At 48.2% G+C, this 17095-nt stretch overlaps 1 protein-coding gene across 1 annotated transcript in view, besides 2 other annotated features; it reads right to left on the reverse strand.

Moving 5' to 3' along the window:
* Window positions 1-5376: 5376 nt before the first annotated feature.
* ANP32A (acidic nuclear phosphoprotein 32 family member A) overlaps window positions 5377-17095 on the reverse strand; it is a 42361-nt gene continuing 30642 nt past the window's right edge. The window contains exons 2-7 of the mRNA NM_006305.4: window positions 14612-14761; window positions 14255-14377; window positions 11239-11437; window positions 9798-9895; window positions 7252-7315; window positions 5377-6984 (exon numbers count right to left, since the gene is read on the reverse strand). Of these exons, the coding sequence (NP_006296.1) occupies window positions 6923-6984; window positions 7252-7315; window positions 9798-9895; window positions 11239-11437; window positions 14255-14377; window positions 14612-14761 (696 nt within the window). The 3' untranslated portion in view covers window positions 5377-6922. The remainder of the gene's footprint in view (window positions 6985-7251; window positions 7316-9797; window positions 9896-11238; window positions 11438-14254; window positions 14378-14611; window positions 14762-17095) is intronic.
* Window positions 9860-9909: a silencer, noted in NCBI's record as "silent region_6588". NCBI's record gives its function as "represses an Ori minimal core promoter by ATAC-STARR-seq in GM12878 lymphoblastoid cells {active_cell/tissue: GM12878}" and the evidence as "EXISTENCE:reporter gene assay evidence [ECO:0000049][PMID:35858748]".
* Window positions 14637-15144: an enhancer, noted in NCBI's record as "H3K4me1 hESC enhancer chr15:69080134-69080641 (GRCh37/hg19 assembly coordinates)". NCBI's record gives its function as "activates a minimal SCP1, AML or CMV promoter by ChIP-STARR-seq in naive H9 embryonic stem cells {active_cell/tissue: H9 hESC(naive)}" and the evidence as "EXISTENCE:reporter gene assay evidence [ECO:0000049][PMID:30033119]".

The following is a 17095-nucleotide window of genomic DNA, read 5'->3' on the forward strand; positions in this document are numbered from 1 at the left end:
AAATGAGATCACATGTGTCAAGCTCTGGGCACATAAAGGGCACTCAATACAGATTGGTTTTATCTGTACTTCCTTATTGAGCCAGTTGGATTACCCAGGCAATTGTAGGTGTGTATAGACCAGGCTATCGGTCTACACTTTGAGACCTCAGAAAGTCTTTTTGCAAATTCTCTATCAAAACACTCCTGCCTCACTAGAGAGGCCACTATTTCTCCCACATTGACCCTTCCTACTGCCACTGCAGAGTTTTGGCAGGGGAATGCTTTATTTTGTGTTCAAAATAGATGTAACTATAGGCCCCAGGGCAATGAGGGAAATAATACAACAAACTATCGACTAAGACTGTCAAAGTCATTTAGTCCGCATCACTGTTTTTATAGGACACAGAGGTGACTTGGCGACTACCCAGCTAGTTAGTTTCAGAGCTAGGATGAGAATCCAGGTCTCCTGACTCCTGAGTGCCTCACCAAAATGTGTAACACCTGCAGAAGGCCATCAGCAAGATTTAGGATACTCCCAGAGGGCAAATCCATTGCTTTTTATAACCAAGATAGTCCATGGAATGTATCATGACTGTGGTGGTTGAAACAAAGAAATTATTTAATGGATACAATGTATATTGTTCAGGTGATGGTTACACTAAAGGCCCAGACTTCACCACTATGTAATACATCCATGGAACAAAACTGCACTTGTACCCCTTACATTTATAAACAAACAAACAAAAACAACAGAGTGGATTTTGCTAATCTAAATTTTTAAAGGGAAGGGAGGAAAACTTCCAAGAAGCTTGTCTTAATTACCAAGGGCCATCGAAAATTTTGTTTTCTCCTTGTTACAGAAAATATTTGGGTTGCCTGGGATTCTTTACCATACTTAAAAAAAAAAATAGAAATTTTCACTTTCCACTGCTCTTTCCCATCTGGTATGGTTTGGATATGTGTCCCCTCCAAATCTCATGTTGAAATGTGATCCCCATTGTTAGCGGTGGGGCCTGATGGGAGGTGTTTGGATGGGGCAGATCCCTCATGAGTGGCTTAGTGCCATCCCCATGGTAATGAGTGAGTTCTTGCTCTGAGTTCACTCAGAGATCTGGTTGTTTAGAAGAGCACAGCACCTCCCCCTTCTCTCTCTTGCTCCTTTACTTGCCATGTGACGGGCCTGTTCCTGTTTCGCCTCCACCATGAGTCAAAGTTCCCTGAGGACTCACCAGAAGCCAAGCAGATACCAGGACCACACTTCCTGTACAGCCTGCAGAACCATGAGCCAATTAAAACTCTTTATAAATAACCCAGCCTCAGGTACTTCTTTTCTTTTCTTTTTTTGAGATGGAGTCTTGCTTGCTCTGTCGCCCAGGCTGGAGTGCAGTGGTGCAATCATAGCTCACTGCAGTCATGACCTCCTAGGCTCAAATGATCCTCCCACCTCAGCCTCCCGAGTAGCCAGGACTACAGGTGCACATCACCACACCTAGCTAATTTTTGTATTCTTTGTAGAGACAGAGTCTCACCATGTTGCCTAGGCTGGTCTCTAACTCCTGGGCTCAAGAGATCTGCCTGCCTCAGCCTCCCAAAGTATTGCGATTACAGCTGTGAGCCCCCATACCCGGCCAGGCATTTCTTTAGAGTGAGGTAAGAACAGACTAACACACCATCTTTCCATCATCTCACAGCCTGTGAGATACACAGGTAGCTATTATCATCCCCTTTCTACAAGAGGTGTAAAAGATATGTGGATCCACATTTGAATTCTGCTTGCCACCTGTGTGATGTTGGGCAGGTCAGTTAACCTCTTTGAGCCTCACTTTTCTCAGTTTTAAATGAGTATGGCCATATTAGCTGTGGCTATTGAGTTTAATGCAGCATTTCCCAAACTTCCCTCATGATGAGAATCCTCTGGGCATTGTTAAAATCACAAATTCCTGGGCCCTAGTCCAGGGCTACTGAACTAGAATTCCCAGGGATGAGGCCTGGCAGTCTGACAGGCCCCAGAGATTATCAGGGAAATTTGGGAAACACTAGGTTGAGTTTTATAAAGCATTTACTGTTGTGTCTGGCACTAAGCAGCCAATATTGAGTATTTAGATGGGTTCAATCTTTGAAATGTGGATAATGATGATTACAGAATAGGGTTATGATGAAACACAAGAAAAATAATGTGTAGTCCCTGGCAAACAGTAAGTTCTAAGTATCTGTTGAAGTCCTCACTTCATTGCACTCATCGGGACTCCCAGGATGAGAGGGGATCACCTGGAGGTTCGCTGGTTCTCTGTCATGGCTCTATCCAAGGGCTATGCCTCCTCAACTCCAGGCCTCCATCCTCTAGCCCAGCACCTCCCACGGGAAGATTCTTGTTTTCTAGATTCCAGGGAGCAAGCCTCATTTGACCAATTTGGGTTTCAGGTCCTTCCTTGTACCAGTCACTGTGGTTAGGATTTGGACTAGGCTGACTGGCCAGGACAAAATAACTTGCTTACCTAAGACCCAGAGGGATGGGGGCCAGCCCATCTGAACTTCAGGAATGGAGAATGGTCCATATCCATGTGAGTCCTTCCAGTGGTCCCTTGGAGGTGTTGCTAGGCCAAGAAAAACGGATGGTTGGCAGGCAGCCCCACAGACGTTCCTTGCGTCAGCTCTCCAGTTCACAGTCAGCCAGCAGACTCCAGATGCCTCAGTGACTCCGGAGCTTCTGGCAATCTCTCCTCTGCTAGTGCGACCACGGCCAGGCTTGAGGGCCTCAGTCAGATGACCCAGCCTTTGACCTACCCTCATCTGTGCAACCATCTCCAGCCCCCTCCTTGGCCTGCTCACCCTTGGGCCAGCCTGTCCCAGGGGCCTATCCAAGGGCTGGACCAGGGACTTAGAGCTGCTGTTGTCCAAAGCTGCTTATTAGAGACCCACTGTGGGAATCCTTCCAACCATGAACAATGAGTTTCTAAACCAGGATAAAAACAGCCTTTGCAAGTCAGCAAATGAGACAAACTGAATTGCTCAACCCCCCTTCCCTCATTTGCCTGGTACTTTGAACACAGTGGCTAAGAACAAGGTCTCTGGAGTCAGAAGGATGTAGTTTTGAGGCCCTTCACTTACTAGCTGGGCTAGTTGTCTCACTTCTGAGCCTCGGTTTCCTCTGTGAAATCTATGAAGATTAGAGGAGGCAATGGATGGAAAGCACATGACACAGAGTAGCTCATAATCAAGAAGCATTGTCATTACTGTCCTCTCCAGGCACTGGTCTGCACCAGGAAATGTGCAGCCGTTCAGTGGTGATCAATGTCAGATAGGACAATGTCAAGGAGCCAAATCCACTGTGAATATCAAGAACCTATGATGCATTCCAAAGCCACATAGAACACATACATGGCCATGACACTCACTGTATCCTGTTCACTCAAGGCTCGGCTGTTTTCTTCCTGGAAGATACACTGCACTGTGTATCTTGTCGCTGCAGCTGGCCTCCCCCCACCCAAACAGTACAGCTGTGGGTGAGATGGTGCAGAAGCCCAGGGATGGGAGTCCTGGGTTCTAGGCTTGGCTGTCACTCCCTTGCACGGCCACCTTGGGCACGCCACTTGCCTTCTCTGGGCTTTGATTTCCTCTTTGGTCAAATAAGAGGGTTGCATGGGGTGACTTAGAAAAAGTTCTTCCCTCTCAAGGGTCTGTCCTGTGGCATTGACTAGCACACTGAGTGGTGAGACTTCCCTCGCTGAAGCCATGATGGTCAGGGTGAGGAACTACTGCAACACGCCTCACTCACACAAGTGGTCTGATCTGGGGAGCAGGAGTCAGGATGTGGGAGGCACTTATGGTACGGGCAAGAGGGCTGGCTCTGGAATCGCACACCTGGTTAATTCCTGATGGTGCTCTTCTTCCTGGCTGTATGGCCTTGGGCATTACCCTCTAAGCCACCTGTGTAGCAAGGGTAATAGCATCTACATAAGGTGGCTGTGATGATTCGGTGAGATTAATGAGACGCTGCATTTGAAGGAAAGGGCCTAGCCCATAGCAAGAGCTCAGGAAAAGCCAGCCCTGCCCCTCTCTCCTCTCCTTTGTCTGAGCTTTCTGTGCCACTAAGTTCCATGAATGAAAATAGCCCCAGATGGGCCTGGGTTTCATGCTGATTCCACTTCTTCCAAGTTACTTGACCTGTTTTCCTTATCTGTTAAATGGACATATGATCTTCCTCAAGGGCTGACGTGAATGCTTGGCATGATTAATACAGAAAGGGTTCTCCTCCCTGAGGCCCATTAACATCAACCCATTCACCACCTTCCATTTTTCCTTCCATTTTGTAGTTCTTTCTTTGTGAGACAAGTCCTCAGCCTGTCATCCAGGCTGGAGTGCAGTGGGGTGATCATGACCCACTGCAGCCTCGACTTCCCTTGCTCAAGTGATTTTCCTGCCTCAGCCTCCTGAGTAGCTGGGACTACAGGCGTGCACCACCACGCCTGGCTAATTTCTGTATTTTTTGTAGAGACAGGATCTCACTATGTTGCCTATGCTGGTCTCAAGCGATCTCCTGGACTCAAGCAATGCATCCGCCTTGGCCTCCCAAAGTGCTGGGATTATAGGCATGACCCACCGTGCCTGGCCTATAGTATTTATTGCTGTATCTGATACACCTGATCCTTAAAGACCCCATGGTGGGAAGTCAGGGCCAGAAAATCTGAGGCCAGACCACAGCATTTCTCAGTTTCACCCCACTCCCATGTTCTTTCACTCTGAGAGGCACAAGAACATGCCTGCCTAGTTCATTCTCACAGCCCAGATGCTTAGCACAGCACTTGGGCCAGAGGAGGTCACTTCTCCATCCCATGCTTGGAACCACAGGTAGCTTGCTTCAAAGGGCAGTAGGTGCCAGGGTACCACCCAGAGGGTGAGGTGGGTCACGGGCTCTTCTGGAAACACTTTACACTGCTGGAATCACACAACAACTATAAGACATTGTAAGGAACTAGGGCTTGTTGTGGGTTCAAGGCTGTATAGAATGAATACATAAGAATGAGTATATGTGTACGTGTATAAACAACCACAGTAAACTGGCTGAACTCTTCTGGAAAACATGGAACCTTGTACATGAGCCTCATAAATGTTTTTAGCTTTTGGTCCAATGACTCTACTACTTCTAAGAGTTTGTACTAAGAACTCCACAAAAAGTATAAATAAGTAGTAATATAACAATATCCACTACAGGGGTAAGCTGGACATAATGAAAACATCTAACCATTTGGTTAGAATTAAGTAAATCAGAATATAGTTGATGGACTACTATGTAGCCATTTAAGATACATGCTTTTGAAAATTAAAGAAACAGGGAAATGATTATAATACTGTTAAGTAAAGTAACAAAATAAAACACCATATGTAAACCTCTGGGTTTGTGAAATAATTTGTTTTATAAACATTCCTGAGTTTTCAACCATACATTCTTTTTACAATACGACAAACAAAACAATGAAAGATATTCAAAACAAGGTTCCAAGGTTGGCCCAACTTGATTGTTTGGGTACTTGTTTTTTTAGTAACTCTGTAACTTTTTTAAAGGAAGCTTTTAATGAAGATACACCACTGAGTCTTGCTTTAAGACCAAAAATATCCAAACATAGTATCACATTATATATATCTCATAAGAAAAGCTATTCTATCAGGTAACAAAAATGAAGCTTCCCCCTCACCTAGCAGTTCATCTGGAATGCATCTTGAAAAGATCAATGGCCTGTTGGACTCAAAGAAGCCATCCCCAAAAAAATTGTATAAAAAGATTTATTGAAATTTATCAATGACAAACAGACATAAAACTCAAAGTTTGGCTCTTCTGAGGGGCAGGAGAAAAACTGGTGCAGATGTTCTTTTATACAGATGAAACATGGGTTCAGAAATTACACGTCACTTCTAAAGCAACCAGAAGAGGGACACGAAAGCAAACCTGTACATTCACTAGGAATTTGCAGTCATTTCAGATTTCCACTAGGTAAGAAAATACAATTTTGCGTTAGTTTTTCCGTGCTCGGGTGTATGAAAAAAAAAACCCAGCCGACATGCAGCAACGTCTCCAGCGCTTAGGTCCGTAAAAATGTTCTAAGCACAGAAGTACATGTGGAAGAATTCTCTCATCATTTTTTGTAAAACAAAGCGTTCTAATATTTTACAGAACAAGATAGGACAGTTTTTTTTTTCTTTTAAAGAAGTTGAAGTTTGAAGGTGTGTTTCTTCTAATTTTAATTACCAAATCCATTTTCCTTGTAACTTAACACAACAAGCCTGCGGTTTTCAGCTCTCTGGCTCATAAGCTCAAGAGTAACATCAGAGTCCTCTTTGTAGAGCGAAGCCCACCACCATCTGTGAAGGGGGAAAAGGGATGAGAGATGGGGAATGTCCCCAGACCAGTGCCAAAATACGCCTTTAGGTTGCTATTTACAAACCAGGGCGTTGGATGCCTCTAGCAGGCCTGAGAAAAGCAGGTATCATCATGTGAACCAAAGCAAAAGATATGGCTGGTGCTCAGCCCCTCCTGGGCATTGAGTAACCAAACTGAGACCAGCCACAGCCTTCCAACCAACCCAAGAGACTTGGGAAATACCAGGAAACGTAAGAGAACTCCAAACCATCCTCTTTGAGAGTCAGGAACAAATGCTCACTTAGTGTGTACTTAGCTATCGCATTTACAGGGACAAAAACCGGACACAAAGAAAAAGTAGGGGAAAAAAATAAAGAGTGGCAGTAAAAATAGTATTTTATTCCACCCCCACCCGCCATCCCTCCCCCCGCAACCCCCAGTACACTCTTCCCCTCTCGTTCCCACAGCAACGTTACAATCAGAAAAAAATAAGTTTCAGGGGGCAGGATTGGAGGGGGGGGGGAGAGGGGATATGGGTAAAAACAGTCAAATCACAATAGGAATTTTTCAAAATAGGTTATTCCACTTAGTCATCATCTTCTCCCTCATCTTCAGGTTCTCGTTTTCGCTTCTGACCCCTTTCTTCTTCTGGAAAAGTAAGAAAGCGGCATTTAGATTAGTTATTAATCCCACCTCTTTAACTCAACCCACCCAGTGAGAAGTCAGGGGACCCATGACTAGCAAGCTGTGCCATCCTTGGAAACCGAGGCAAGACATCTGCACAGCTGGAAGGGGAATCTGAGGCCTCTGACAGGAGTGTCCTGCCCACTGCCAGGGGCCTCTGAGTCTAAGCAATCTAAGGCCAAAGTGAAAGGGCCAGGCTGCTACCAGCTGAGAGTAAAAAGGCTGCCATACCACCAAGCTCTTCTTCATCTTCCTCGTCATCTACCTCTCCATCGTTATAACCTTCTTCATCCTCCTAGGAGAAAGGACAGACACCAGAACATTAGAAATGCCCTGCCTTGGGACATGCTGAGGAAGCCACACAGAGCACAAAAAGGCCGGGGTCACCCCCAGCCTCTCAGAGCCCCCACCAAGACTTGACATCTCGGGAGGAATGTAAAGCAGAGGTTCTTAATTTATTTCAGATCAAGGACTCATTGGGAAATCTGCAGAAAGCTTTGAACTCCTTCTCCAGAAAATGTCCGTATCATTTATAATATTTGCAAGCAGTTTCAGGGGGTTATGGATTCCAGGACCCAGGTTAAGAACTCTGATCTGAAGTCCCTGTAAGGCAGGCAGCTCTCCAGTCTGCACATTCTCTGAGGAGAACAAGTTCCCGAGCAGACTCCCTGACGTGCAAAGTAGGCCATCCTTTCTTGCATCTGTCCTCAATCTAGTTTTGGCTTCAAGAGAAGACCCCAGTTTAAGCAAATCCAGATTCTGTGGGCAAGTTCAACGTCACCTGACCCAGCCCCTTCCCTAGCTTGCAAACTTGGACCACCTGGAAGGGTTGGGGAAGATAAATTCAAGACCCCCTGAGGACATCATTCCCAACCGGCTTGAGATTCAGCAAGGTGTATGACTTTCTTTCTCAACACAGGGCCCTTGCTTTCCTCTGCTCCTGAAAGTATATGCAAGTTGAATCTCTGCTTGTTAAACCTGGTTCCTGAAGTTTAAAAGAACTTGGTGACAGACTTCTTTTTTGTCAAGGGAAACATTCTTTTAAAATGTCACCAAAGAGTTCCCTCATCAGTCTGTTTGCTAAGGTTCTGGTTTTTTTTTGCATGTATAAGCTCTCCTTTACTGAAAGCTGGAAATATGCAGATGGTCAGTGAGATTATTTAAAAAACAAAAAACAAAAAACAAAATCCACAACCCTCCCCCATCCCCACCCCCCCAAACCTCACATGCAGCACTCCTGTGACAGGAAGAGGAAGATGTAACAGCTATTAGCCAATACAACTTACTGCCCTGTTCTAGGGGAACCTGTTTTACTAAGACTTTATTTTTAAAATACAATATTCTTTAGAGATGAGCCTAAGAGTCTAGACCTAGGGAGAAGGCAAAGCCAGCAGCACAACTAAACAGAAACCAAGCTCATCTGGCCAGCTTTTTTTTTTTTTTTTAACTGAGTCTCGCTCTATTGCCCAGGCTGGAATGCAGCGGTGCCATCTCGGCTCACTGCAACCTCTGCCTCCCAGGTTCAAGCGATTCGCGTGCCCCAGCCTCCTGTGTAGCTGGAATTATAGGCATCCATCAACATGCCTGGCTAATTTTTATATTTTTAGTAGAGATGGAGTCTCGCCATGTTGCCTAGGCTGGTCTCGATCTCCTGACCTCAAGTGATCCGCCCGCCTCGGCCTCCCAAAGTGCTAGGATTACAGGCGTGAGCCACCGCGCCTGGCCTCCGCGATTCTATTGTCATTGGCCTGTGTCTCTCAAGCCTGGGCCGGCTGGCTGGAACTGGAAGACACTATCTGAGTGAGTCCGTGTGGCAAGCGGATGTGTCTGCATCCTCCATTGAGGGAGACAGGAAACTGCGGGGGGAGTTGGGAGGGGACACAGGCGCCTTGTCCATGCTATTGTCACTTTAAAACTCTCTAGTTCTAACTTTTGCAATTAGCAAGAGTTGATTTAGAATTCTGAGCAAGTCATAGAAAATGACTCTGCTACAGAGAGACTCAGAACACACAAACACAAAACCCAACACAGTGCCAGGAACCTGGAGGAGGGTGTGAACGCCTACAATAAGCAGTCAGACACTTACCCCTTGTCAGACACTGTCCTTAAGCATTTTACTTACACTTCACTTTATCCTCTTAACAACCCTGTGAGAAAGCTATCATGATCCCTATTTTACAGATGAAGAAATAGGCTCAGAAAGGTCAGGTAAATTGTCTGGGGACACACAGCTTGCGAGTGGTAGAGCTGGGACTCACCCCCTCACAGATCTTGTTAAAAAACTGGGAACCAGCCAATCTCTTTAGGAAAATGGCCAACTCCTGGTGCTCTATTTCCATAGTGTCACTCTCTGATTTGGGATCCAGCAGTGTTATCCTGCTACCTATCAGTTCAAGGCAGACTTTGGTTTTCCCTAGCACAGTTTAAGTGCTCAATGAATATCTTAATTAGCATATGAAAGCAAAAAGCAGAAAATGGGGCCATGCATTCTGTACTTCTTCACATAGAAACAACGGCCAGGCTTACCCCAGCAGGTTCAGTCCCTGCCTCTAAAATCCTCTTCCCCTCTTCTAATCCAGCCTCCCCAGAGCTTACTGCAAGTCTTGTCTCCCCAGAAACAGCCCAGTGAAAGGCTCTGAAATGGACTCACTTCACTACCCATCGGGGAGCGACTTTCCTAACCAGGGCTCCGGGGCTGCCAAGACTGATCACAGAGGCAGTCAGTGGGACTGCCTCAAAGGGGCAGACGGTGGCCCTGCCCAGCCCAGCCTCCTTACCTCCTCCTCTCCACTCACGTCCTCCTCTTCACCTTCCTCCTCCTCATCCTCGTCCTCCTCGTCTTCCACTACCTGAGCATCTTCATCATACTCCTCCTCTGTGCAATCGAAATGGGGAACGGAAACAGAACTAGTGGTGAGCTGGCTCCGCCCCCCACACAGCACAGGCCCCTTGTAGCGTCTTCAGTGTGGGGCTCATGACCCTCCCACACCCACCTAAGTCCAAAGATGGAACACACTAACTCTCATGAAAACAGTGCTGACATAATTAAACACATCCTGAAGTTGTGCCAAAGATAAGCCCCCCTCACAAGTGTTATGCATGTGAAAGGCCCCTTCTGGAGGCCTCTCACACCGAGACCACCAGGAAATTGTCAGAGCACAGCAACAGGTTCCAGGGCCCGGGAAAGCGGCAAGATCAAATCAAACTCCTCAGGTTAAAGGTGAGAGATCTGAGGCACAGAGAGAACTGACTTGTTCAAGGTCACGCATCGAGTCACTAGTTGAGCTGGGCCTAGGGGACCTGGTCCCGGGACTGCCAGTTTTGGCTCCTTTCTGCCATATCACAAGATCCCCACCAAGGCAAACATGGTCTCTGAGTATCTTGCAAAACACTCCCAATTGAACAAAGAAAACCAAAATCCTGTATCTGAATTAATTAATCAGGCAAGTGTCTCCATTCTCAACTTTATCTGGCCACGAAGATGCATGGGAAAGCTGCACTGTGCTGGTGGCAAGGGAGAAGGGGAGGGAACAGGACTCCCTTCTTTTCCCTCCTTCCTTCCTGTAGGCCTCGACTACACACCACACTGCCAGGGAACCCAACAAGTGGCCTGCAGTCCTCCACTTCTGAGCACCTGGGGCTCCTGAGCACCTGAGCCTGTGCCCCTAGGTGTGGGGCTGTAGGCTGCAACCACCAGGGGGCCCCACAACCCCTCTAGCTCTGGACCTCCTCTCCACTACTGAATACCTAGATGGGAAAGAGGGGTCCTCAGGCCACACACTCTTCTCTCTCTATCCCCTCCCTCCCTCCCTGGGAGAGTGTCTAAGTGCGGGTCACACTACAGAAAGACTGTAGAATCCCACTCCCTGGGGGCTTTGGAAAAGGGACAAAAATTGAAGTGGGGATTCAGTTGGATGGTTTTAAAGGAGTTATTATGCAGTTGGAGAATCTCAGGATATTTCCATGAGCATGGGACTCATGCTTTGTTCTTTTAGGGAAGTCAACCAATGAGACAGATTAGGGACTATGGAAAACAAAGCAGACAGCCCTACTCCCCTCCATAGCTTTGGAAGGTGGTAGCTACCAGACAGACAGCCAGCCTTCAGTAGCTGGGTGGGGGCCTCCCAACACCCAGCCCACCCACCTCTGCAAAGCCAAGGACGAGCCCCAAGGCCTCAGCTGGGCCCCTGCAGCCCTGGGCCGCACCCTGTCACCCACCATCCTCATCCTCCTCCTCATCATCCAGGCCCTCCACGTAGCCCTCAGCATCCGAGTCAGGGGCCTCCTTGTCGTCCCGGTCATAGCCGTCGAGATATGTGAGTTGCGGGAGGAGCTTGAACACATTTTCTCGGTAGTCGTTCAGGTTGGTTACCTCGCAATTGAAAAGGTCTAAGCTCTTGAGGTTTTCTAACTTTTTCTGCAAGCGGAAAAATGAAGCCAACAGTAAGTGATTTGTGGGAGGAAGGTGGAGGAACAGCCCTAGCAAACAGGCAAGGATGCCATGAGATAGCATGCGCAGACCATGACTTCCAGGTGATAAGGAAGCTTGGATTTGGCTCTGCTTAGCCACAGTGTTTGCCCAGACATATCACCTGCAGTTTGTGGGCCTCGGCGTCTCCATCTGGAAAATGGGGGGTTGGACTGGAGGATCTTTGAAGCCTTATCCAATGTTAACACTTTTATTCTGCAATTACAGCTTCTGTCTTAACAGTGATTGACTTGAAATTAGCCTGGGGCTTTCTTGGTGCATGAGCCAAGAGGTTTACTGCCTCTCCCTGAGACTAAGGAGCCAGAGGGAAACCAAAAGTCAACTTGAACTAACAAACTAACTCCTTCTGCATCTGATAATGATGATGATAAGGGCGGTTAACATGGCACTTCATGTACTGAGTCACTTTATCTCACAACCCCTGTAAGGTAGAAATAATTATTAGTTAATTTCACATATGTGGAAATGGAGGGCACAGGATTTGGTAATTCATCAGGCAGCCCAACTTCAGACCTGTGCTCTTACTCTTTGAATATTGCCTGTCAAAAAAGGACAAGAGAAAAAGCAATGGAGGACCCCAATTCTGTCCATGGTATTTGACACGATGTGCTCTGTCAAAGCTTTACACCAGACGGGTTCTAGCCAATGTTATCCCTGTTTGATGGTAGAGGAAACTGAGGCCCAGGAAGTGAAGGGTCATACTGCTTGCAAGTAACTGAGCTACATTTTGACTTCCCACCTCACCCACCTTTGAGGCACCAGGTACAAAAAAATCCCATCCCAGGCTGAGTCCCCATTCCAAAGGTGGCCAGGTCTAACAAGGGAGTGAAACCATTGCTCCTTGGAGTCAATGTCGGGAGCTAGGTTGCTCTCTCTATGACCTTGCAGTTGAGACCTGGGTCATTCTCAGCAGAAGCCAAGGGCAGGGAGGAAGTCTTGACAGTGGTCTGTGTGGGCAAGCCCAGCACCTGCTACCAAAAGCAGCTTCCCGCCCCAGGACGGTAAGGCAACACACACTGACAAGCAGGGGCGGAGAAAGCACTGAGACACGTGTGATCTGGGCAGGGGGCAGTGGAGAGTGTGAACATGAACGTGCCTGAGTGCCTGACCCCTAATGGTGACTGAATCACAATGTTTTACAAGGATTTTATATACTCAATCCCCATACCTCACCCATATACAGAACTTCAAAGACTTTTTCCTTTTGTAATGACATTATAAAATCAAGACTTCCAGACAGATCAAAATAGTTTGGCTTTTTCCTAGGAGACCAGTGAAAGGCCTGAAAAGAAGTTCTGTGGGAAGCACATTCTACTAGTTGGCCCCAATGCCATCGATGGACAGGTAAAGAGCTTGGAAAAGAAATGCCAGTGTCCTCTTCTGCCACACTGGCCACCAGCAAGTCCCGTGAGCATCCATGGAGAGCAAGGAGTGCCTTTTGGGACAGAAACCCTGAAAACTCCAGCCCAATCTGAGGGATACCCAACCTCCCCTATAAACCCAGAAGGGAAATTTGGCAAACGTGGCCAATTGTCCTCCTGGCCTTTCCCTGATTCTAAGATGCCTGAGGTGCTGCTGCTGCTGCTTTTTTTTTTTTTTTTTTTTTTTTGGAGACAGAGTCTCACTCTGTCACCCAGGCTGGAGTGCAGTGACGCGATCTCAGCTCATTGCAACCTCTGCCTTCCAGGTTCAAGAGATTCTCCTGCCTCGGCCTCCCGAGTGGCTGGGACTACAGGCGTGTGCCACCACGCCGGGCTAATTTTTGTATTTTTAGTACAGATGGGGTGTCACCATGTTGGCCAGGCTGGTCTCAAACTCTTGACCTCAGGTGATCCACCTGCCTTGCCCTCTCAAAGTGCTGGGATTAAAGGTGTGAGATACCACGCCCGGCCTTATGAGGTGACTCTTATATGTATATTCACAACAGGTGTATTTACTTCATGTGGTAGTATTTCCTATTCCAAAAGAGTTGTTTTCAGTGACACATCTTACAGCTGATTTCCTTAAAATCAAAGGAATACAGCGAATCAGATCCTGGTAATTATAGAAAGTGTTGTTCTGAACATGACCTGCCCCTTTCTGGCTGGTAAATCAGTGAAGCTTAGGGGATGTCTATCTCTACAAGGATGAGCAGAGGAGCCAGAAATGCTACCCAGGCCCCTGAGAGCCTGTTCACTATCGCAACAAGGACTGGTGACCAGGGGTCACTCTTCTCCACACCACGTTGAGGAAGGCCTGCCTGCACGAGGCTCTCACACCACACGGCTCTCAGTCATTCCAGGGTTCTATGTCAGGACTGACTCATTTCTCACAGTTCAGGGGCCAGCGACCCAAGGAGAAAACTGGAGTCCACCTCCAGGGCCAGTTTAATTCTTGGATTGCTCCTCCCTTCCCAAAAAGGGGCAACAAGCCATGCCCTGAACCTGAAGACATTACAGCTCAGGTTTCCAAAGCTGAGCAGAAACTGAGTGGAAAAGCAGGAGACCAGAAATTGAAACTAGGGTTCTACGCTACCCGTACAATAGCTGCCCATTCTGTCTGTGACCTTGGTCAAGGTATTTAACTTCTCTGGGCCTCAGTTTCTCTATGGACTCAGCAGAAACAATAGCTCAATTCTATCTCATAGCACATCATGAGAGTCAAAAAAATTAAGTGGGAAAAGGACAAATGCAAAAGTAGTATTTGCTGATGCCAATTCCTCCCACCTCCTACCCCTGCAGGGAGGGGAGGGTCCGAATGACTTACCAGTGGCTCTATTGTGCTGAGGTCTTTAATTTTGTTGCCACTTAAATTTAGATGCGTGAGGTTCGGACACTTTTCTGCCAATACTTCCAGGCCCCCTGAGACTCTGTTATCGCTTAGTTCAAGCTAAATAAGGCAGGGAAAGAAAAAGCAGAAACAGCTTTTAAAATGAAGGCTACCGGCTCAGAGCTGCCCGGCTTTCCCCAGACGGGCAAGAAGGGAAAGCAGTCTCAGGCAATTGTCTGGCATGTTGGTGCAAGCACCCGGCTTTCCCTTCAATTACTCTTTCTAAACATAGGTAATAACCCTTCCCACTCCCCACCCCCGCCTCCCAGCACACACAGACTCCACTCTATTTACCTTCTTAAGTTTGTTTAACTTTGGTAAGTTTGCGATTGAGGTGAGGCCTACGTTGATTGTACTTAAGAATTCCAGTTCTTCAAATTCATCTGTGAGGCCTTCGAGTTTGCCTTCATTCGACCGACTGTTGTCCAGGACAAGTTCTTTCACCTGAAAGAAGGCCCGACCGTGTGAGCGGGGCTGAGGAATGGGGCTGAAGCAGGGGGAGGGTGTTAGAGGACTCCTCAGAGAACAGGGAGACAGACGCAGGAAGCAGTCAGTCACTCCGTCACTTCTTCTAGCTTTCCGGATCACTGTGCTGCCAACGACCACAGGATGGATTTGCCCACCCTGACTTTTCTGCCTTTTCAACATCTGGGTGAGAGGAGGCCTGTGGTGAGCCGAGCTGCAGAACCAGGGGGCCACTCCAGACAGGGGCCTTGGCTGTACCGCAGAAGACAAACCCAGTAAGCCCTGCTGCCTCTGCAAGGTTGGTGGTCTCATTCCAACCCTGCTCTCGCATTCTCCCAAAACCCACATGCACCAGCCACAGCATTGTTAGGGACTTCTGGGCCTTGCCCCGCCACCCCAATGCCCCCACAAGACCCCCACATGCCCAGTTGCTTTCACCCACTCCTGCCATCACAGCAGAGCCTGCCGCTGTAGCTGGCATTCACATGGCAGTACCCATGTGGCCTGTCCTGAGGCAGGCGCAGCAGACCAGGGGCTCCTCCAGCTCTCCCACCTCTAGCCCAGCACTGTCCAACAGAACTTCCTTCAAGGACGGAAACGGTCTGTACTGTTCAAGACAGGGGCCACTAGTCACATGTGGCCACGGAGTGCGGCCAGTGAGACTAAGGAATAGAGCTTTTAATTCTATTTAATTTCAATTAATTTAAGTGTAAACAGACACAGGTAACTACTATATTGGATAGCACAGCTCTAGACTTTGCTCTTCACGGTCCAGCATAGACGTGGAAGGAGAATGGAAACCCACAAACTTAGGATGGGCCCATAATGAAATGCTGAGATCTGTCTCAAAGTCTGTGCTTGGAGGCACCTCTGTGGCCCTGTCTTTTTCCCCACTCAGCTCCCTTACCCACAATTTGGGTCCTAAATCCTTTATTTCTAATGAGGTAGAAAGAACGAATAAAAAGCCACCCTCTCACAGGGTTGTTAAGAGGTAGACTTAGCTGAAGGTGAAACTGCAGGTTCTAATGAAGAAGGTAGAAAGACAGGCCGAGGAAAAGTAACCAGGTCGCAGGCATGAAATGACCCTGGGAGTAAGCAAAGGAGACCCGGTGTGTGGCCCTCCAGGCAGCTGGCCCAGAGTTCTCCTTCCTGCCCCAGAGCAGCCAGCTTCTGGGAAACCCGGCCTCTCTGGACTGGAAGACACCTTAAATGTGATCCCTGCCCACACCTGGTATCTCAAAGAGTCCCTTCAGCCCAGGACACAGCAGCCCAAGCTCCCTGCAGGTGCCAGGAAACACTTACCAATGTCAACTGGATTTGTTGCCTCCCTCCCTGGAACTTCCATGCACAGGCCCTGATTTCTCACCAATGGGTCACATGGCACAAGCCTTCCTTCTCAACAGCAGTCCAGCATTGTTCAAAGGGTTGCTCCTGCCCCTCAGGGCCTTTTCTTCTCTTGGATAAGCAGCCAGGCTTTCTAACCTGTCCCTGTCCAGGGCTGCTCCTGCTCCTTTGAGCAGGCCAACATGCCTAGCTTCTTCTTTCTGGGCCCAGAATGACTAGGTGCCCCTCTTACTCAGGCATCTCTGGGCCAAGTAGAGATATGGGGGAAAGGAGGTGGAAACAGAGTCCACATGAGGCCTGCTATGCCCCTCCTCAGCCCCCTCTTGCCAGTGGGCAGAGCAGGGGAGCACTGGGGTACACATCTGGATCTCAGAGTCCTGCAGGGCCCTGCAACTGCCCTGCCTTCATTCTTCACTGGTGGGTGGAGGCATGCCACTCCGCCCGGGACAGCAGCAATTTGTGGGTTTCATCTAGCACAGCCCACAGAGCAGGAGAACCAGGGAGCGCAGCCCTCTCCTGGAGCTAAGGAGCTCTCAGCCTAGGAAATGGTCACCAAAGCCCACCTTCCTGTTGGGTCTGGGAGGGGGAGGCTCAGTCCTTTCCCACCCCCTCAGTCCCTGAGATCCAGATGTCCAGGTCAAGCCACCTTCTCAAGGTCATGGCAAGAGTGCCTGGGAATAAATCCTGTGAGGCCTTCTGCCCTAGGGCAGGAAAGCATCGCAGAGCCAGGAAGCCAGGCCTTAGGGGGCCAGTGCAGATGGAGGGAGAGTAACTGTGTTGGGGGAGGGGAGCCATCTCCTTCGTTTGCAGTAAACACTGGAGTCACGTGGCCCACAGTCTTCTTTAGTAATTGGTTTCCTTGGAAGGCCTGGGAATTCTTGAAGCTCCACCAAAGCAAGGCAAATATGAGAAGAGATTCCAGTCTACCCTCAAAGACTGCAGACATGCGGTTTTTCTAGACGGGTCAAT

The sequence above is a fragment of the Homo sapiens genome, chromosome 15 (genome assembly GCF_000001405.40).
Source record: "Homo sapiens chromosome 15, GRCh38.p14 Primary Assembly".
Taxonomy (NCBI): Eukaryota; Metazoa; Chordata; class Mammalia; order Primates; family Hominidae; genus Homo; species Homo sapiens.